Source organism: Homo sapiens, chromosome 11, assembly GCF_000001405.40.
Source record: "Homo sapiens chromosome 11, GRCh38.p14 Primary Assembly".
NCBI lineage: Eukaryota > Metazoa > Chordata > Mammalia > Primates > Hominidae > Homo > Homo sapiens.
In genome coordinates, this window is record NC_000011.10 from 43,901,197 (window position 1) to 43,922,368 (window position 21,172).

The 21,172-nt window shown below is 40.9% G+C and overlaps 2 protein-coding genes and 1 long non-coding RNA gene across 3 annotated transcripts in view, besides 1 other annotated feature; 2 read left to right on the plus strand and 1 right to left on the minus strand.

The window, feature by feature from the left end:
• ALKBH3 (alkB homolog 3, alpha-ketoglutarate dependent dioxygenase) overlaps positions 1–19,078 on the plus strand; it is a 39,444-nt gene extending 20,366 nt beyond the window's left edge. The window contains exons 8-10 of the mRNA NM_139178.4: positions 320–529; positions 17,842–17,940; positions 18,722–19,078. Coding sequence (NP_631917.1) covers positions 320–529; positions 17,842–17,940; positions 18,722–18,814 — 402 coding nt within the window. The 3' untranslated portion in view covers positions 18,815–19,078. The remainder of the gene's footprint in view (positions 1–319; positions 530–17,841; positions 17,941–18,721) is intronic.
• Positions 8,093–19,748, minus strand: ALKBH3-AS1 (ALKBH3 antisense RNA 1). The gene is made up of 6 exons (NR_038907.1): positions 19,678–19,748; positions 19,190–19,268; positions 18,390–18,466; positions 15,473–15,725; positions 11,067–11,288; positions 8,093–9,317 (listed from the first exon to the last, which is right to left on the minus strand). It is a non-coding gene; the product is annotated as an ALKBH3 antisense RNA 1 (long non-coding RNA).
• Positions 19,030–20,229: an enhancer, noted in NCBI's record as "BRD4-independent group 4 enhancer chr11:43941776-43942975 (GRCh37/hg19 assembly coordinates)". NCBI's record gives its function as "activates an origin of replication core promoter dependent on BRD2, P300/CBP, MED14 and CDK7 cofactors, and independent of BRD4, by STARR-seq in HCT116 cells {active_cell/tissue: HCT116}" and the evidence as "EXISTENCE:reporter gene assay evidence [ECO:0000049][PMID:35650434]".
• Positions 19,872–21,172, plus strand: part of ACCSL (1-aminocyclopropane-1-carboxylate synthase homolog (inactive) like) — a 138,910-nt gene continuing 137,609 nt past the window's right edge. The window contains exon 1 of the mRNA XM_047426927.1: positions 19,872–19,975. The gene's annotated coding sequence lies outside the window, so the exon portion shown is untranslated. The remainder of the gene's footprint in view (positions 19,976–21,172) is intronic.

Here is a 21,172-nt window from a genome sequence, read left to right on the forward strand (position 1 = left end):
TGAAAATACATGGCAAAGGCCATGTATTTGACATGGAAAGGATGAGATGGTTAGATAGATTCTGGTCCTCATGATATTGCTGTACTAAATTTAGTACTTTTATAAAATTGCAGAGATCAACTTGCTTCAAAATAGAAATGATGGGAGGGAATTAAACTACTTTTCTTGCCTTCTGTTTATTGCATTCCATGTGGTTTGCTTATTACATGCCCTGGTTATAACTTGGCTGATTTTGCCCTTTCTTTTCTGTTTTTCCATGCGGCTGTCATTTTGTGTGTAATGCGACTGTCTTGCCCTTTTCTTGGTCTGTGGATTGCAGTGGCACCCTGTGCTGCGCACACTAAAGAACCGCATTGAAGAGAACACTGGCCACACCTTCAACTCCTTACTCTGCAATCTTTATCGCAATGAGAAGGACAGCGTGGACTGGCACAGTGATGATGAACCCTCACTAGGGAGGTGCCCCATTATTGCTTCACTAAGTTTTGGTGCCACACGCACATTTGAGATGAGAAAGAAGCCACCACCAGTGAGTATTCTCTTTTTCTTATGCTCTTCCTGCCTCTTATTAGTCTGTGGAAAAAGTAGAACTCCTAAAAGCTTCTACTTTCAGATTTCGAGCATGGGAATACACATTTTGTTGATGAAACATTTTCAAGTGACTACTTCCCCATGGTTAACTTTTGACTTCCAAAGTGCTCCTTCATTCATTTACAAGTCCAACAAGAATTGGCTGCCTTATGCTAGGTGCTGGCGGCTCATTTCATTGATGATAAACTCCCTGTCCTCCTGGAGATACAGTCTAGTTGGGGTAGATAAATATTGCCTATTACTCAAATAATTGCAATTGTGATCAATGCTGTGAAGGAAAGCCTTAGAAGAATGACTCAAGCTAGTGGGAGGCTAAGGAAGAGGAAGGAGGCTAAGGAGGACGTCCCTGAAGAAACCTTTATTTTAAGTGTTCTTCATGGTAATATGGCCACTTTTCTGAAAGGGAGCATTCACATATGTTTGTTCCTTCTTAGCCTTCTCCTGAAATACAGGTGAATCTAACTCTTTCAGAGAGAGGAAACTCAAGCCAGATTATCAGAGATGGTGATCTGTCCACATTCAGGTAGAAAAACAGTGACCAAAAAATTAATAACGATATAATAACTTCAGTTTCCACCCCAGCGCTTACCTCAATTATGTGACATTTGAGGAATACTAGGGTTATTAATTTTTTAAAAAATCAAAACTGTAGTCCCTTACGACTAAGAAAGATAGTAATGCCAAGAAAAGAGCCAATTATTTTATTTTCAGTGTTTGTGTCTCTTCCTAACCAGCATTCCTGATCATTCAGCTTATAATGTTAAACCAGACCCAGTCGGTGTGGAAGGCCAACCAACAGGCTGTTTTTTTGTTTGCTTGTTTTTTAGAGAGGGAGTCTCACTCTGTCGCCCAGGCTGGAGTGCAAGTGGCACGATCTCGGCTCACTGCAACCTCTGCCTCCCCAGTTCAAGCGATTCACTTGCGTTAGCCTCCCGAGTAGCTGGGATTACAGGCGTGTGCCAGGACCCCTGGCTAATTTTTGTATTTTTAGGAGAGATGGGGTTTTGCCATGTTGGCCAGGCTGTTCTCAAACTCCTGACCTCAGGTGATTCGCCCACCTCGGCCTCCCAAAGTGCTGGGATTACAGGCATGAGCCACTGCACCTGGCCCAGGCTGATTTTTGAATAGACCTAAGCCAGACCACATCATTATTAGTTCTTGTGTCAGTTCTTCGTCAGATATACTTCCATAAGAATACAGTTAACAGACTGAGTGTTTTCCTGGTGTGTATTGGGTTTCCATGCATGGTATTTTTAAAGCATATTGTGTGATTTTGCATATATGCCATTAAGTACCTTTTGTTGGTATAATTTCCATTGATTAGGCTTTCTTTGGTTATGTTTACATAAAAAGTTTGATCATTGTTAGGGGATTGGTAGTTGCCGGTGTTTTTTTAAGTGAACTTGCTCTCTAAGCCTTCAGTTACATTGGCAAGCAGCCTTCTCATATACCAAGGAGTACCACTTGAGAATCAGACAAACCAGCTTTTGCTATATTTGTTTTAGATATGATTATACTTCTGTACACAGCTTTCACTCAGTTAAATACCAAGTTCACATGTGTGAAAAATTCATCCTGCCCTTAGTAAGACTCCTGTTGCATAAATAGTAGAGAGACACTGTATCAGTCTCATTATTTAAGTTCAGACCCTCTTCTCAAGCCGGATGTATGGAACCTCAGCTTGTTGCCAGGAGTGGTCCTGAGACCGGGGGCCGTAGCAGTGAATGAGTAAGATGAAATTGTCTTTCTCCTCCTGGAGCTCATCTAGCATATGCTAGCACTGCGCCTTCCTCCTAGAGTTATCCTTCTGGCCTCCTGATTGGCAAATAAGCTATAGTATATATAGCCTTTGGTATAATAATGGTTTTTAGTTCTTCACACTTACTTTCTTTGTTGCTCAGTATTTAAGTATTCAGTTACTGTTTCTTTACACACATATATTCACCACCACCATGCCCCTTTTTAAAAATTTGGGCCTATTTATAGATTTGAAGCTTAAGAATTCCCTAAGTATGCTTTTTGGATAAATCATTTTACTGTACAAGCAATTTCCAAATATTATGCATTCACAATATTCTGGTGCCCAGAAATACCCCGTTTCTTCTCCCCTCCAGAGAGCTGAATTTCTTCATTTTCTCATATAAAGATATGACATATGGTGATCAAGAGCTATTTCTTGGTAGTACACATCAGTTATGTTATAGGGTAACATGTAGATGGAGAGCATAACTACTACATACATTGTTCCTGTGGGCAAGCATTTGGAACAGCGCTTTATCCTGCCGTGCCCCATGCTGTAGCTTTCTCTTCTCCTCAGCCTTCTTGGAGCCTATTTTGATGAACATGAATGATAATACAGGCCATGAAATACTCAGAAGTGGTAAAGTCCACATAATTGTCTGCCAGTGGCAAGGGAATCTGCGCTATGACGATGGTAGCTGATTTGATTAAAATACTGATCCAATAAGTAAGAAAATTTGCCTGAGATTTTAACAAAGTTGCCTGAGGAAAGGGATTTGGGAAGAAATATAAACATGTTGGTACTTCAGGTTGTTGACTGTAGTAAGTTTTGGCTTCTGGCCTAGTCTTAACTATGATTGAATTTCATGCAGTTTTTGTATATCATCTCAATTCTGGCTTTTGTTTAAGATTGGGAAATTGAATATTAATATGTTTGAAATTATAATCACACATGAGTAAAAAGTGACCTTTTTTCCCCAGAACCTGTAAAGTCCATTTTTGTGTAAACAGGATACAAGTTTAAACTTTTGAAGATTCCTTCAGGTCTCACTAACGGATTTCCAAAAACCTGGGGCTCTACAAATGTAGCTAAACTCGAAGTGCAGAACCCTTTCTTTGAGTTGATGGCCTTGGAAATATACCTTAAAGTGCATCATCTTTATCTTATAAATAATCCTTTTTTCCAAAGGATTGAAAGGAAGCGATTATTGCACATTTTTGTCTACTTTTCTTTATAAACTCAGGTGATGAGAACATGACTCATGATTCATACAGCCCAAGGTAAAGCATAATTTAAAAAGTAAAAATTAGGTTAGTCTTCTGTGTGGGATTTGTAGGAGTCTGACTTCCTGTAACTCTTAGAGACCTATCTCAGTGTGCTACTACAGATTGTAATTTTCATGTCTGTCACCGAGACGTTCAGGGTTTATTAGAGGTTGTGGGAGGGAATCTTTCAAACTCCTATTAGCTTTGACCCATCGGAGGAGAAGTTAATGCCTATTTGACTTGAGTCACAGTTTCGCATCTCAGGCGGACATGGAAGAGTCATGAGATTTCCTGCACTTTGTTCAAATGTGCAGTTTTGAGACAGAAAAGCGTCTGTTTTGGGCCACTTTCAAAGAGAAATAGTCTTGATTTTTTAAAAATTCAAATTCCTCCACCCTTGCAGCAGCTGTTTATTTTGTAGTCTGGCACCTTGAGCAGATCTCCATTAACTGCTGATCTACTGAAAGCTGCCCCAGTTCCACACACTGTATTCCTAACAGTTTCTCTCTGTGCTGAGACGGTAAGGAGATCTTTGTTTCGTAAGCACCAGTGCCCTCTGATTCATGCATCAGCTCAGTCAGCTTCATGTAGACATCATCTCTCGGATTAAACATTTCACTCCTCCAAGGTGCCGGTTTTTTGTTTTTTGTTTTTTTTTTTCACTGTCCTGTGGTCCAAGTCTGCCAAGTGCTGCTCATTCATTTTGATTTTAGAGTAAATTACCCTTTCCTTTAATGATATTACTGTCATTCCTCAGGGGCATAGTAGACTTGTTTAAGCTTGCTTTTACATTCATTCCGATTCCTTTTTTGTTTAGTTCAAATCAAAGACTAAGTGAAGGGCACCTTATCTATATTCTGGCTGTTGTCAGGCTATATTGTCTTAAGACTGTCATAAAGCTTATCAAATATACTTCAGTAGACCTTTTTTATTCTATCAGGCTGGCATTATTAAAGGTTTTCTATACTTCTTGTCCCAAACCCAGTTGTACTTTTCAAACTACATTGTGTTCCTGTTTGCAAAGATTAGTCTGGTTCTTTTCCCAGCTAGTTTTAATTCTATACTGAAAAAAACAAGCTGGAAAAGGAACTACAAAAGCCATTTGGCAGGCTGCTATTTCTCTGTCGGTTACCATGGAAACAGTGATGGCTGGGGGGTGTTATTAGATAATAGCAGGAAGTTTGTGATGCACTGGAGGTTTAGATGCCAAAAGCCTTGTTTTTCTAGCAAATTACCTCTGGATAAACTGTATCCTTCATCAGCTGAATTCTGCAAATGTTAGGGGCTCCTATTCACCTCAGGGTGATTGAGCTACAGCAAGTTGAGCCCTCTAACCACTCCTCTTTTTAGCCCTTGTGAAGAATGTGAATCCTGTTTGTATTGCCAGGAGAGATGATTGTAAAACCAAGTCTAGCGGTAGAGACTATGAGAGCACCCAATGAATTGGAGGTCCTAGTGTTTCCTTTGCTAATTGGTTGTGGGTTTTTTGTACACTGCTGGGAAGAGTGGAGTATAAAAAGGTCAGTCAAGTCATAAATACTGATATTTTTTGTAAGACTTTAGAAAAGAAGATATTGGAATCCAAAATAATAAGATACTAAATAGTGTAAATTTAGAAGTTAGATAAGCTAGTACTATGCAGGATTTCATAGAGTGGAAACAACCCACACCTTAGCCAGCAGCCCCGCTGCTGCTATTCCAGTCATCTATCCTTCCTATTAATCCATCTGGTGATTATAGCACCTACTCTAAGAGATTACAAGAAATACTTGAGGCTGGGCATGGTGGCTCTCACCTGCAACCCCAGCACTTTGGGAGGCCGAGATGGGAGGATCCCTTGAGCTCAGGAGTTTGAGACCAGCCTGGGTAACAGTGAGACCCCATCTCTATTTTTTTAAAGTAAATAAAATAAATACAAGTAAATAATAAGTAATAAAAAGAAATACTTGAAATCAATTGTTGATAGCCATGATCATTTAAAAACACTTTCTAATGAAATTTTAAAAATTGGGTTGTATTTCCTGTTTCTATCCCTGATGTTGCCAAAAAGCACTCAACTGTCTTATTTGTACTTATTCCTTTTTTGTAAATGGGATTGATAATTGGTAGCTACTTCATGGAAGTAATCAACAAGTTTTCCCATGAAAGTTGCTGTAGTAATCAGTGAATTTTTAAGCTTTTGTAAATGGTAGATGCTATGGTGACTTTTCAGATATGGAAACTGAAAAAGGAAATAGCAATGAAACTAAACTCCAAGGTACCCTTGGTCTGTGAAATGGCATTCATTGAAAGAGTATAGGGAAGCCTCAGGGAGGGTAAGGTGGCCTGTGGATCATAAATGGTAATTGGGTTTTTGAGTTCCCATCTCTAGGACCATTTAATGGTTTGGAGAGTGTGAGGGTGAGTAGAGAGAGAGAGAGTGTGTGTGTGTGTGTGCGTGTGTGTGTTTAAGCAGATAAAGATTGGTAGTCCTGATAAGACTTGAATTATCTTCAGACTTGAGATCCCTTAGGAGTTGGAGTCCTCATTTGCGTCCTTGGGGCCTTGTCTCAAGCTAGAATCCATGCCCTGACTCCCACTGGGAATAATTGATTTTTGCAACAAGCCTCCCAGTTTTCTATTACTAGTGACAGCACTTTTAGTTTCAGTAGGACAAACTTGTGTTTCCTTGTGAAACTAAGTGATTCATTGTTGTTTCTGTGTGTACCATGATTTGGCTTGCAAACCTGGCTTTTTTTAAACTTTGCCCCAGTGGTAGAGGTTTTTCTCCCCTTGCCATACTCTTAAGGACTATTCCTAAGCCATCTGGTATCTGGTGATTTTTTTCATCTTTCACAAGTCACATTTTCATGGAGGATGGCTGTCTCACCGAGGCAGAGAAGAGCAAAGTGTGTTTCAGGAAGGGAAAGGAGGCCCTGCCCTGGAGCAGAGTGAGCCAGCTTGAGGAGTGTCACAGGTGGTGAGACTGGGAGAGTGGGCAGGCACCAGGGCATGCAGAGACTCATGAGCCTCAGGAAGGAGCAGATTTTGTTTTATGTCCATCAGGGAGCCAGTGAGGTGTATAAAGCAGAAGAGTGACACGGTCTGATTGGCAATTTTAAAAGGTCACTATTGCTACTGCATGGAGCCTGGACTAGAAAGAAACAAGGAGGCCAATTAGGACATTGTTAGATTTTGTATATACCTTGGGACCAAGGTAGAGAAGGAGAAAAAGGGATGATTCAATGGCATGAGCTCAGAGGAACAGGGATTTTTATTCTCTGCTTCAGAATAATGATTTGAAAGTGTTATTGAGGAGTAAGGAGAATACTCTATCACCTGGCTCTGTGAGCCACTGGATGGAGAGCCATGATCACCTTCCACCTGAGAGGGTTTCAGGGAATTTGCAGTCTTCCAGAGATAGCCAGATTTCAATTAGGATGAGGAAGCAGAGAGAACCTTCAGAGCTCATTGAGACTGAAGATATAGGTGAGTTTGCTCATCTTTGAATGGGAAATCCAGAGGACACAGTGGAAGGGTGCAGGAGGGAAAGAGTTCCGGGGGATTGTGTCTGATCAGATTATGTCCAGGAACAGTTTGGGAATGAGTGTTCTGGTATTAACAGATGGCTGGAGAGGCTTGCACTTCTGCTAGTGACTGGGCTCAGCTGGAGGTGAGGTATGGCGGAATGTGTTCTCATATGCTTTCAGAGGATGAAGGGCATTTGTTTCTGGTGCTAGCACCTGAGATAGAAGCTCTTTCAAGATAGCAGTTCTTTTAAGTTGCATTTTTTGGAAATATTATATTGCCAAGAATGGAATGTTCATCACATGATCTCTTCTGATTTCACATGCACATTCAGTGTAGCTGGAACAGCTACAACTGTGAGTGTAAAACCAGGTTTGTTTTTGCTCAAATTCGGTAACTTCTTACCCCCACCCTATCCCTAGTATTATTGCAGCAATAAGTCTGAACAGTAAACGCTGTCAGCAGGTATTTCATTCAATTTCATTGACATTTCAATGTGTGCAGTCCAGAAGGAAAGGCAGTAGTCCGCCTGGTAGTTTGTGCTGTCGATGCCTGCTGAGAGAGCTTGTGCCGCAGCCAACAATTGCCCAGGCCTCCCAAACGCTCTTAAGTTAGTGAGACATTGGTGAGGTCCCATGTCATTGAGCTTTTAATATCACTGGGTGTGCCTGGTATAGGATGATTGATTGCACCAGTCCTTTCTGCTCACCTTTCTCATTTGCCTCGCCAGAACCTTCCAAGCCAAATAAATGCCAAAAATCAGGAAAGAGTTTTAGAAAAACTCAAAGATCTGTATGTGCCAAGTAAACTGTTTCGAACCAATAACCTCAGTGACTTAAAATCTGTGTTTTTCTAGCTGGCTTCTTACTTTAGCAGATCTTATTTCAGAAACAGCTTCTGTTTTTAAAGTAATGTACTTCAGATCGATGCTAGGATGTCATCAGTTAAAGTGTGGTTTGAGTCAGCAGAATAACTCTGCAAAGATGACTTTGTGGGGTCCCAGCTTTATTCTCTCTCCATCATTTCTGTAATTAATATGTTGTGTTTATGTCAGATTTTAAAAATATTTTACCACTATGAACAAGAGGACCAGCTATGTTCTTGTATCAGCACTAGAGGAACAACTTTGCAGCCCAACTGTAGCTCCAAGCTTAGGTGATCCATGAAACAGTCTAGACCTCAGCTGGGTTCTCAAGGGCAAGGCAACACCACAGTTTGGGAAAACAAGCTGAAAAGAAATGATAAGGAAAAAAAGAGGACATTACTGGCATAGCCATAAGTTGGGCAATAGGGCAAATAAATGTACGTTTGATCCTCAGCGGGTAAGTAGCTGTAACACAGGCTAGCATTTAGTTTTCAAATATCATTTCAGTCTGCAAAAAATGCCATGACCATCCTTATCAAGCACCTCCACCCTCTGTCTGATCCTTAGACCAGCGGGCTAGAGAAATCTCTTTTACCTATTACCATCGTGAAAAAAATGCTTTGCTTGACCCTGCAGATATCCTGACATCTTGGGCTTTTTCTTGTTTTTGAAGCACAGATTCAGGAATGAGTTGTCTGCATCTGAAGTCTCCCCTTTCTCAAAGCTTAACTCATTATTGACACACCTGCTGTTTCGCTCCATCCCACCACTCTGCTGAAATTATCCTCATACCGTTGACCTCAAATCAAGTCCACCAGCCTGTCCTCAGTCATCATCTCTCTTCCTTGTAATATTGGTCACCAGGATGCATCACCTCTGTGTGTGAAACTTGCCCATGTATTACCTGCGTTTTCTTCCTCTGAAATACTGTCTTGTTTTAGAATTCCCAAACTTTTCTCATTGCTATTTTTCTGCCTCCTTTAAGGCCTTTTCTTTTACATTCAACCCCTTAAATATAGACGTTCAAGATTTCTTTGATTCTGTTATTGTTCTCTACATTATTTTTTAGGAGATTATGAACTGGCAGTAGATTGTAAATACCATATGGGCAAGGTCCCTTTCTGTCTTATTTATCATTACATTCTTAGCATTTAGTTCTACATATGTTGATTGAATAAGCAAATAAATAGGATCTCATTAGTTCTTATAGCTTTAACCATTCCTTCTTTGGTGGGGTGACTTCTGAATCTCCTATCTCCAGCTTTGACTTTCATCTGAAGTTCCAGTCATCACTTTCCACATGTTCACGAGACATTTCCACTTAATAACAGCACATGTGGCTTCCACCCTGTAATGATAAAATCAGATTCGTATTGTTCTTTCAGAAAAACTCCACACTTGCTGGTAAGTTCATTTATGTTCATGTTAACCTAACCATTCTCTTGGTCAGGTTAACACCGTAAGTTATTTTCAGCTCTTCCTTGTTCCTTTGTTTCTCATATATTATCAAGTCCCAAGTCATCTGAATTCTTTCTTGAACTATCTAAAGAACCCATCTCTCTTACAGTGACCATCTTTATCCCAGGCACTTTTTAACCCATGCCTACAGTACTAAAATGACTTTTTTTTTCACCCTGATGTCCTTAATTCCAATCTTTGCTCCCTCTCTTCTGTCCATTACCCAGATGTCAGGTATTATTTCCAGGAACAGTTCTTTCCTGCCTCTCTCTCACTGTCTTCTCTCATTCTCCCCTCTCCAAATATTAATTAAACCCCTACTATGTGTCAGGTATTATACTATGCTCAGCTCTGGGGATATAGCAGTGAACATGACAAACATAGTCCCTGCCCTTATGGGGGTTACAGGAGCTAGACTATAATCAAATAAACAGAGAGAAATAGTTACAACTCATGGTTAGAGCTCTGAATTTTTATTTTAGAAGATCACTGTGGCTGCTGTGTGAAGAATAATTTGGGAAGAGGCAAGAGTAGGAGACTAAAAGAGTAGGTGGTTGTAGTCATCGCAGTGGGAGACTGCTAGCTTGGACTAAGGTGGCATTGGGGATGAAGAGAAGTTAATGGGTTTGAGGTATATTTCTGAGGATGAATCAACAGAACTTGCCAGTAATATGTTAGATGTGGGGGTAAGGATCCAGACTCCCAGGTGTCTGACTTGAGCAGTGGTGAGTGGAGTTGCTGTTTACTCAGGTGGAAGAGAAGCTGGGATTTCTGCATTTGATTTTGTCCCTGCTGGAGGAGTTCCTTCTTCTACGTGCAAAATCTGAGGTGCCTGAGGCTTCCAAATGTTAAGTAGGCAGTCGACTGTGTAAGTCTGGAGTTCAGACAACAGGCCTGGCTGGAGATGTCATTTGGGAATTTTGGAATAACCGCAATAGTAAAACGCTAATAATAAATAACAAGTGTATAGTGCTGACTGTGCCTGGCTCTGCTCTAACTTCTTTATTGAATTCTCTGATAATTTTATATAGTTGATGCCATTATTATTTCCATTGTACAGATGAGATGACTGAGACTCAGTGTTAAATTACTTGCCCAAGATGGCTTAGACAACTATTTGTTGAATGTGGAATCGAATTAAAACTAATAATATAGACCATATGTAAAACTGTGGAATTGTACATTATCATTCAGAGAAAGAGAATAAAAAAGGGAGCGGCCAGGCGCCGTGGCTCATGCCTGTAATCCCAGCACTTTGGGAGGCTGAGGTGGGCGGATCACAAGGTCGGGAGTTCGAGACCAGCCTGACCAACATGGTGAAACCCCGTCTCTACTAAAAATACAAAAAAAATAGGCAGGCGTGGTGGTGCGCGCCTGTAATGCCAGCTACTTAGGAGGCTGAGGCAGAAGAATCGCTTGAACCTGGGAGGCAGAGGTTGCAGTGAGTCGAGATCGCACCACTGCACTCCAGCCTGGGCCACAGAGTGAGACTCCTTCTCAAAACAAACAAACAAACAAAAAACAAGAAGGGAGCATAGAGCCTCAAAGGTTGAGCTCACTGCTTTCATCACTTTGTTTTCCACCTGAAAAATCTTAATTTGCTTCTGTTGGAACAAAGGATAAAATAGAAACTCCTTACCCAGATTGCCAAATCCATACATGATCTTAGCCCAGGGAGATCCATGGACTCTCACTGTTCCCGTATGGTTGCTCCATTCTACTAAGTTATCTCTTTGCTTTCCCCGAGGCTTGCTCTCCAACTTCTTAACTTAAAAGGGCCCCCTATAGCGTGAAGGCTTTCCTGATGCCTCCAGTGCAGAAATTAATAATAGTTACTGTGTGCCAGGTGCTTCCTGTGAACCTGTAAAACAAGAAACAGGTAGCAGGCTTCTACCTTGTCCTTTCTGCTCATTTGTGTTTTGTTTTTATAAGTGTCTTCTTAGTACAGAGATGGAGGTTTTTCTATTTTGCTCATCTAAGGAATCAGAGATGATGTGGAAAACCAACTGCCTCACTGTTATCTGAGATCAGTAATTTGGAAGCATATTTTGCTTTGAATGACTTTTTCTGATTGAGTTAGGGGTGAGATGAAGAATGTGATAATTTTTTAAAATCATGGCATTTATTTTTTAAAATCTTAATATATTAAACAATACAGTTTCAGATACAAAAAAAATTACTGCAATAAAACAGTTGAGGTGTATTTCCATTGTGCTTCCCTTCCTTATCAGGAAAGTACATTGTCCACTGAGAGACAGGATGGATGGCCTCTCCCAGCTCTACACAAAGCACAAGCCTACTGGCTCTCCTGGGCCTTGGTTAATACATGGAACAGGCTATGTTTTCTAAAATGTTGTAGCAACACTCATAAGTCAACCATGGTTCAAAAAGTCAACCATGGTTCAAATCACATATTTACATATTGATCAATTCTTTATGATAGACAGACATAAATGAGATACAGTAAATAATTTCCAGTTGTTAAAAAAAAAAAAAAAACAAGTACAGGCGACAAACTTGGTCATGGTACACAAATATACTTCATGTGTACAGACAGCTTCATTCAGGTCTAATTTTTTTTTAATTTTTGTTTTAGGTTAGGTATATTTGCAGGTTTGTTATATAGGTAACTTGTCTGTCACGGGGGTTTGGTATACAGATTATTTCATCACCCGGCTAATAAGCATAGTACCCGATAGGTAGTTTTTCCGTCCTCACCCCCGTCCCGTCCTCCACCCTCCATTATTCAGGTATAATTTTAATTTGAAAGACCTAGATATACTATTATTTAAGTGATAATGGCCTCTAAGATTTATTCAGATTACTATCAAATAATAAATTAAACAAATCCACTATAATTTAAAACTCTGTCCATTGCTTGAAACCTTGGAGGAGCCTATGCTACAATCAGTTGCTAACTAAAAGCAATTGTACGTGTATTTGATATTTCCCCACAGTTTCTACCTCTAGATTTAATTCAGTAAAGGAAGATGATATTTGAAGATGAAGTAGCACTTGTGTCCTGAGCATCTCTCAGGCACTACTGCATGGAATGGCAAAGGGGATGCAAGAAGCACATCAGATGACAACGGTCTTAGACGCTTACAAGTCTGCTAAGGTGACTGACAAGGGAATCAAAGAAGGCAGTCATGTCATGGACCTATCAGCAGCATAGCTGGGCAACCCTGGAGCTGAATCTGGCCCTCAGACTTGTTTAAATTGCCCAGTGTTTTTAAAGACACTGAATTAATTGCGAAAATTTATAACTCAGGAAATTTCACATAAAAATCCCACTTGTCAGCTTCCCTGGAAAACCCAGAAGAGGGGGCAGCACTGGGGGAACAGTGATCTGAAATGGCTCATTGGCAGAGCAGCCACCACCTTTCTGCAGGCCCCTGGTTCTGCATGGGTCCCTCTCCTCCCTGTGCTGCACCCAGCCCACACCTCTCACTTATGCTACTTGCTGGTGTTTGTGACCCCTACAGTATAGTCAGGGTGCCATATAATCAGGACAGGAAATATTAGGATTTCAGAAGGAATAGAGCTTACCTTGGAGAGCAGAGTATAGTGGAAAGAATAGGGCTTTAGAGCCGGGCCAATCTACATTCAAATGCTAGCCTGCCCTCCTGCTAGCTTTTGCCTTAGAGAAATATTTTCCCTCCAGCTCCCTTTGCTTATGATAAAATGGATAATATCACCTTCCTTGCCTCCCTTACAAGGTTGTAGTGAGGATTAGCAATAACGGATATAGAGTGCCTGATGTGCCTGGCACCTGAGCACATGCCATCGTAGATCTTGTGGAAGAAGTCTGGCAGGATGCTTTGGTTTAAGTACCTGGAAACTGTTATAAAAAGAAGCATGGAAAAAAAAGAATAACCCAACCACCACCAAAAAACAAACTCCATGTAGATTAAAGAGTTAAATCTAAAAAATGTAAACTCTTAAAAAAAAAACTAAAAGGAAATACAGTTGTATATTTAACTTTCCTCAGGATGGGAAAAGACTTTCTAAGCATAAAAATCATGAAGACGAGCCAAAGAAAGGTCAGTAGAGTTGACTCTAAAATTTTTGAGCTATTCCATGTTAAATACCATAAGTACAGTTAAAAGGCAAATAGCAAATGAGAAAAGCATTTGCAAAAAGTATGACAAACAAATGCCTTAATATCTGTGGTTGTAGATCAATAAGAAAACAGTGTTAACACCCCCATAGAACAATGGACAAAGGACATGAACAGAGAGTGTTCACAGCAGAAGAAACACAAACAGCAAACAGAATGAAAAAAAAAAAGTTGAACTTGGGCTGGGTGTGGTGGCTCACACCTGTAATCCCAGCACTTTGGGAGGCCAAGGCAGGTGGATCACTTGAGCCCAGGAGTTCAAGACCAGCCTGGCCAACATGGTGAAACCCTATCTCTACTAAAAATAAAAAAAAATTAGCCAGGCATGGTGGCAGGCACCTGTAATCCCAGCTACTCGGGAGGCTGAGGCACAAGAATCGCTTGAACCCAGGAGGTGGAGGTTGCAGTGAGCCGAGATCACACCACTGCACTCCAGCCTGGGTGACAGAGTGAGACTCTGTCTCAAAAAAAGAAAAAAAAAAAAAAAAGAACTTGGCTTGTAATCCAAGATCTCTAAGTTTGAATGAGTTGTCATTTCTCCCCTAATTGTTTTTCGTTACTGTCAGTTGATAATGTTCAGCCAGAAGATAGGTACTGTCATGTTTTCCTGGTGAGATTATAGATTGCTGCAGCCTTCTCAAGAAAGCAGTTTGGTAATATAAATCAAGTGCCTTAAAGTTCATACACTTGGCTCCAGTAATTCCATTTTTTAAGAATATATCCTAGAAATATATGCAGAAATGTTTTGCCCAAAAATCTGCTTGCAGCAGCTTTTTATTTATTTTCCCTCTTTTTAAAAAAAAATACTGGTGTATGAAAATCAATCTCCAACCATGTGCTCCTTACTGCTCCATCCTTAGTACTAGCATAATGCCTGATATATACAGGTGGTCAAAAGGTATTTGTGAGTTTAAAGGAAGGATATGTTCATACAAAGGAATATTCTATAACCATATTTTTGAAATGTATATTTAAAGATATAGAAAAATGCTCAATAAAATATTAAAAATGGAGTACACACGATTGTATATCTGGAAGACTCTGTGTGTATGTTGTATAAACTCTGGATGATAGGATTACAGGCGATTTTCTACATTTTCTGTGTACTCTTCCTCAGTCATTCAGTACATATTTATTCATATGTGTGATAGGCACTGAGAATGTTTCTTAACAGGAAGACCACATAAACTTTCCCTCATGGAGTTTATAAGAGCAGAGGTTGAATAAATAATTACAAGTGCATCATTTACTTTAGTAAACTTATGTTACTTTTTATATTCTAGAAGGAAAACCTGTATGATGATTTTAAAGCATTGATGATTGTTTGTAATTTCTAAGACATTCTTTTAGGACAAGAAAGGGATGATTTTAAGAAAACTCCAAATCTCATACAGTATGAATTACCTTTCCAATGGAAAGAAAAATGTTTAGGTTTCCCATCTGTTGGATGGTTAATAATGACATAACAGTAAATACATCCAGATTTTTTCACCCCAAATAGCATTTTCTTAAAGGAAACTGAATAGGATATGTTGGTGAGGTGGAGGTAAGAGTTGTGAGAAGCTTTAGAAAAGCATAATTAAGCCTTCAAATGAACTGGCTGCGGTTGGAGGAATGAGAATGTTGATCAGCATTAATATAAAAATACATGTTTTTCGCTTTTTCCATGTACTCGTAGGGTTTCAAGTATTTGGAAAACCAAGAACATCAATAACAAAACCCACCCTGTAGCTTGAGTGTGACCCTAAAAGCTGCTTTTAACCAGGATGAGTGATGGAAAATTTTATCCTTAGCCCTGGTTTTGGGGGGTGTGTTTTGTTTTGTTTTGAAGAAAACCCTGAGTAAATCAAAAGGGCTACAGAGATGTGTTTGGGTAACTTAACCACGCTTAATGACTAGGAAGGCACTCTTCTAAACAGTCTGACCTGTGTTTCCACTGTTGCTTATCCATTTATCAACTGGAGCCTTTATGCACAGCCATGTGGGTTCCTCTGGCCTTTTATCTGACTCCTAAGTGGAAACAGTCTCCATGCATCTTGCTTCAGTTGAAGGGCATCTTGCTTCAGTTGAAGGGTGGCTCTATGGTCTGTTGCCACTCTGGCCTCGAGGGAAGGATGCATTTGTGAGCTCTGTGTTGCATTAGTAGGATCCCTTGCCCTCTTTCCTGTCTGTCTCCTTCTGCAAATTAGGAATGCATCTTCTAAGTCAAAGATCTTAGAAGGAATAAATAACAAGCAGCAAAGAATGATATCACTTCTCACAGAGGGTACACTGTGTAAGGGTGTCTCCTTTGTGGACTGATTCGAGTGGCTCCCTCCCAAACGAAGGCTCACCCTTGTCTGCTTTTTGGTATGGCTAATGGTTATGTTGAATGTAATGTGTTCAAAACCAACCTGAGACTTTCTCTCATTTGAAAAGTTCAGATCTTAGGAACAGTATGTGAAATGTGATCATTGAACATCACTTTCCATCAGTGCTGATACATTTCGGAATTCTCTTTCACTTGTGAGGTGGATTCCTGCTTCATGTTTCCAGGTGGAACTATAGTGTTTACCTATTCTCTTCCACTGATCTAGCACCTCCTTCTCCCCAACAGTGTTTTTAATGTTCTAGGAGATCTTCATCTCAGAATTGCCTTCATGTTGTGGTTAAGTGTCTTTCCTTTCTACTTTATTTTATTCTCCTTAGTGTCTGTACTTGATTTGTAGATTAAGCCCATGTTGCACTCTCTGATTATGTAGAGGGTAGCAGAAATTCTTCTGCTTCTAGCTGTGTTGAACCTTGATCTGATAGCTGACTATACAGCCTAAATTAAGGAGCCTTGGACTGTCTAATCTCATGGTCAGTGCACTCCCTCCGGATATCTTTTCCCCAGTAGGACCATGTGTCTCCTCTGTCTGGATTTTTTTTTTAAATCAGAGCAGCGTTTTGCTTTTCTGAGATGGAGCTGGGCTGCAGTGAGGGCAGGGTCACCTTCCCACTGCCCTCTGGTTGTCTGAGGGGTCAAAGGTAAATGTTTTGGTGCCCACTTATTACTGGAAGAGAAAAGGTGGCAGACACAATTAAAATCAATCACTGAAACCAAAGTTATTTTAAACATTGCTTCTATCTTCTGTCTATAAAAATTATGACTATGCTTGACAAAGTTACTGCCAAAAGTTGGGGCCTGGAACTTAGACTGTTTATGCAAGTTCATGATTGTTTTGATTTTGATTTTCCTAGGGAAAATCTTTGTAAACAGTTAAGTTCTCAGAAGCACCCATACAGTAATAAACATAAACACAGTTTGCACTGAAATCAATCCTGCAGTAACCCAAATGTAACCCTTTCTACCGGAAGTGAAGCAGATGAATGAATAGACCCATCAGTTCTGCCCAGAATGGAGGTGAAGAAATCAGGAAGCTCAGATCTGTCCCAGTCTCAGCACTTGACATGCTCTTTGTTGCTGTGAGCACAGAAGTTGTTTAATGCTCCTGGTTTTCAGCTGTGGAGGAGCCACACTACCAGTTAATTGCTTTGCAGCTTATGCTCTGAAGACTCCTGAGAATATTGGACATAAATTGCTTTTGAGCTCTCTGTGTAAATACAAAGCATTTGTATCCTAAGTGTACAGGAGTCGTGATCCATCCTCAAAGATGTAAACAGCCAATCTCAGTTTGACAGCACTGTTTTGGTCAAGCCAGAGCTCCCTTTGAGAAAATCTTGCTGTTGTCTGTTCTGGAAAGAGGCAGGAATATGTCTCCAAAACTCCATAGTAGCCATGAGAAGAATTGAGACTATAGGTGCCAATTAGTAAATTAGCATACATTGTGAAAAGGTGAAGGAAGTCATCGCATCAAATCTTGGTTAAAAGGACATTTTTCCCACACTGAGTATGTCAAAATGTAGAGCACAACATCAGTCAGATGTAAAGAATTCTTGTACAGGTGACTTTTATTTCCTTCTTAGGCCAGAATGGGCTTTTCTGCATTTTGGATTATGATGATGACACTAATAGCTAGCACTTACTGCATGCCAATCTTCAAGGGATTTACACATATTCTATCAATGGAGGCTCACCATAGCCCTAGGTGGCAGTCACTGTCATCCTCCCCATTTTACAAATGAGTAAGTCAGGGTACAGAGAGATGAGGTAACTTGCCAACAGTCAAGCAGCTGCCAAATGACAGAGCTATATATGGATTCCCACAGTCTGGCTGAGCAGAGGTTTCCATTTTTTTTTGACCTCTGTCAGGTTCTGTTGCATCTTGATTACACAGGCAAAACATTTATTACAACAAATGCTGTTTTCTAGGAAGAGAATGGAGACTACACATATGTGGAAAGAGTGAAGATACCCTTGGATCATGGGACCTTGTTAATCATGGAAGGAGCGACACAAGCTGACTGGCAGGTGAGGATCTGCAAGTAATATGAATCTGCTTTCATGTGGAGGCAGTTTCCTGACTCTGAGGACTATTTCTAAGTAGACATGGTGAAAAGCAAGCTGCTTTTACAACGAGCAAGAGGGAATGAGCTGACATTCTTTCCAAGGAGTTTTGCTACTACTGACAATCCAGGTGGACACTAGTGTGTCCGGTAGAACTTTCTGTGATGATGAAAGTGTTCAGTATCTGTGCTGCCTATTGTAGTAGTCACTAGCCACATATGACTGACTTCTTAAAATGTGGCTTGCATGCTATAAAGAACTGAGTTTTTAATTTAATTTTAATTAACTTAAATTTAAATAGCTTCAGGGTAGCTAGTGACTATCTTATTGGAATACACAGCTCTGCAGCTAGGCCATGCCATTTTTAGGCCAGATCATTTCTAAGGTGCACATGTTAATGTCAAAACACTTACCATAAGAATGGAATCTCATGCCTCTCTTTGGTCTCATCCATTTATATGTTTTATGAGATTTGGGAAATGGCAGGTGTCTGAGAGGAACAGCAACAATTAGAAAAGATGAAAATATCTCACTTCAGAGGTGCTGGCATAGCACAGTGGGGCTGGGGATGGAAATTTGTTTCAAAGAAGGGACCTTTCTCCACAAGACTTCAAAGAGCTTACTACTCATTTAAGGGGGATGAGATGGAAATATTTCTGCATTCTCATGAATAAGTTTTAAGTCGCTTTGAACTAAAAGTGTGTATGTGTGTATTTATGTCAGAGTTATGTGTATTTCCATTTAGCATCGAGTGCCCAAAGAATACCACTCTAGAGAACCGAGAGTGAACCTGACCTTTCGGACAGTCTATCCAGACCCTCGAGGGGCACCCTGGTGACGTCAGAGCTTTGAGAGAGAAGCTTCACTGAAACGGAGCAAACCTTCCACTGAGAAGCCACTTCAAGAGGCTGGTGCTGCTAGATCTCATGATGTGGCTGTTGGGAAGATGGTGGGGTTTGTTTGCCAGCTTGGAGTCCTATTAAATGAAAGCCAGCAACTCATGTTGGTAATAGGTCTACTGTGGGAACAGTTATCCCTAACCACAGCTCAAAATCGCTATCATCTTTAGGCAAATTAAAATCTATGTGGCAGTGCTCATGGATGATTTTGTTCTAAGCAGTTTTCCTCCTGCCCTCCCCCGCCCCCCACACGCCCCGCCTTCATTTGAAGAAATATCAATGGACTTGTGCCTCTGGGGAAAAGAAAATCTCACGTGTTTGTTCCTTGTGACTTCAGTGAAGTGGAGATATAAATATGCGTCAGGGACTCTGGAGCCTTCCGTAGGCAGACAGCTGCTGAAACCCAAACAGAGGTGGTTTCATCTTGGCTTGCATACTATTGTAATGGAAAGCTACATATTCAGGGAACACTGTAACTGAGTCTTCCTGCAACACACTCAAGACAGGTTACAGGCCTCCAAATAAAGAGTGGTGGCAGTATGCTCTCGTCTAGCCACCTTCAAGTAGTCACCTGTAATACAAGAGAAAACTGTCCCCTTAAAGGGAGGAATCACTGAATGATGTCACGGGAAGTAGCAGGCTGAAATTGAGGCTGAAGAGCAGCAGAAGGCCTGCTCATGACAGCTGTTCCACATAGATTATTTTCCCCTCGGGAATCACTTGAGTCATCTAGACCCAAGTCAGATAGAAGTGGGAGCAGCCCTGCAGGGAATGCACTCAATTGCCTAATAGTTCTCGTCACCTTGTGTTTCAGTAGCCCTATGACTAACGCTCTCTTCTGACTCAATGTTTTCTTACATACAAGGTCCCAAGGTACAAGGGTTAGTCTGTGATGTCACTGAGGTTCCCAAAACAAAACAGAGTGGCTGCCCATTGTTGCATCATAAAACCACGTGTCTTCTTGACCTCTTGACTCAGGAGCCGTGTACCAGATTCATTCCAAACCAAGATACAGAAAACCTGAGAGAAAGGAAATGAATTTAAATGGATGAAAATAGGGCGGGAGAGTTAGAGTTTCTCTGTCTGCCAGTGGGGGAAAGGTACAGTGCCTTCTTGCTTTTTATCCTGTTTCCATTCCAGGCTGTAAGATTGATGCTGTCCATGATCATAGGAAAATGCCAAAGGCTGGGCATGCTCTGACTCGGCACTCAGATGGAGCACCATGCCTGGCCAGGCTGTTCTCTGACAAGCTCTCTGGCTCCTGGCATTGTAGTCCCCCTGCCCTTTTAAAAAACAAAAAACAAACAAACAAAAAATGAGCACGGCTTGTTTCTCTAAGAAATATGAAATACTTTCTAAAATTTGAGCACCACACCAAGCTTTCCTGTGAGGGAGGTTCAAATCACCATAGGAATAAAATAAAGCCTCTTTTCAATGCTTAGCTGTTCTCCTATTAATGCAAATAATACCTGGCCAGGTGATACAGCCAGCTTTGGTGATCAGTTTGATGCATGACACTAGGAAATTTATCTTCCATTCCTTACTAATGAAAGAACTGGCAGATGGTTCCAAGTCTTCCAGCGTCCCTCTTTCTTAATGGAGGGTCATGATCTCCCCGTGTGGCAGCTGTGCATTTGATCTCTTCACTTGTCACACCCATGTCTTCCAGGGAAACATTTCTACTCTACAGCAGATGGAGTGGGCCACCACCTGGGTTTCTTGGTCTGAGAGCAGCAAATCTTCAGTTTTGTTTTTCTTGCTGTCACTCCAGATACCACATGCCAGAACTGCCCTTTTCTTTACCATTAAGATAATGTCCCTTCTGAAATGGCAAGTAGGTACTTGCCATAGAGTAAAACTACAGGGTGTAGGCATGGACAGGAATTCCAGACCATGGCAAAGGGCAGTGTGCCTCAGTGACTGCAGCAGCCTGTTGCTTTGTTTTGCTGGTGCTAGATCTGAACTAGGAATTAGAGGTGAAGCTGTTTTTGCTTACATCGCGTGTAAAGCTGAGGAAGCAAATATAACAGCGGTAGCATGAAGAAAAACAGGTTTCGGTTTTGTTTTTGCTGCCCTTCTTCTGAGCTTCAGCAGGCACTGTCCTAGGAGCTTTTATACATAATCCCTTATCCTTCCCACAGCGCTGCAAGAGAGAGGTCCTATTCCCATTGTAGAGGCTAGGAAACTGATCTCCAAGACGTTAGGTAAGTTAACAGGGCTTGTAGTGGCAGAACCAGATTGCAGACTGCAGGCTAGTTTCTCGGCCTGTTTGGTTTCCCTTTGCCATGCTGAATGTA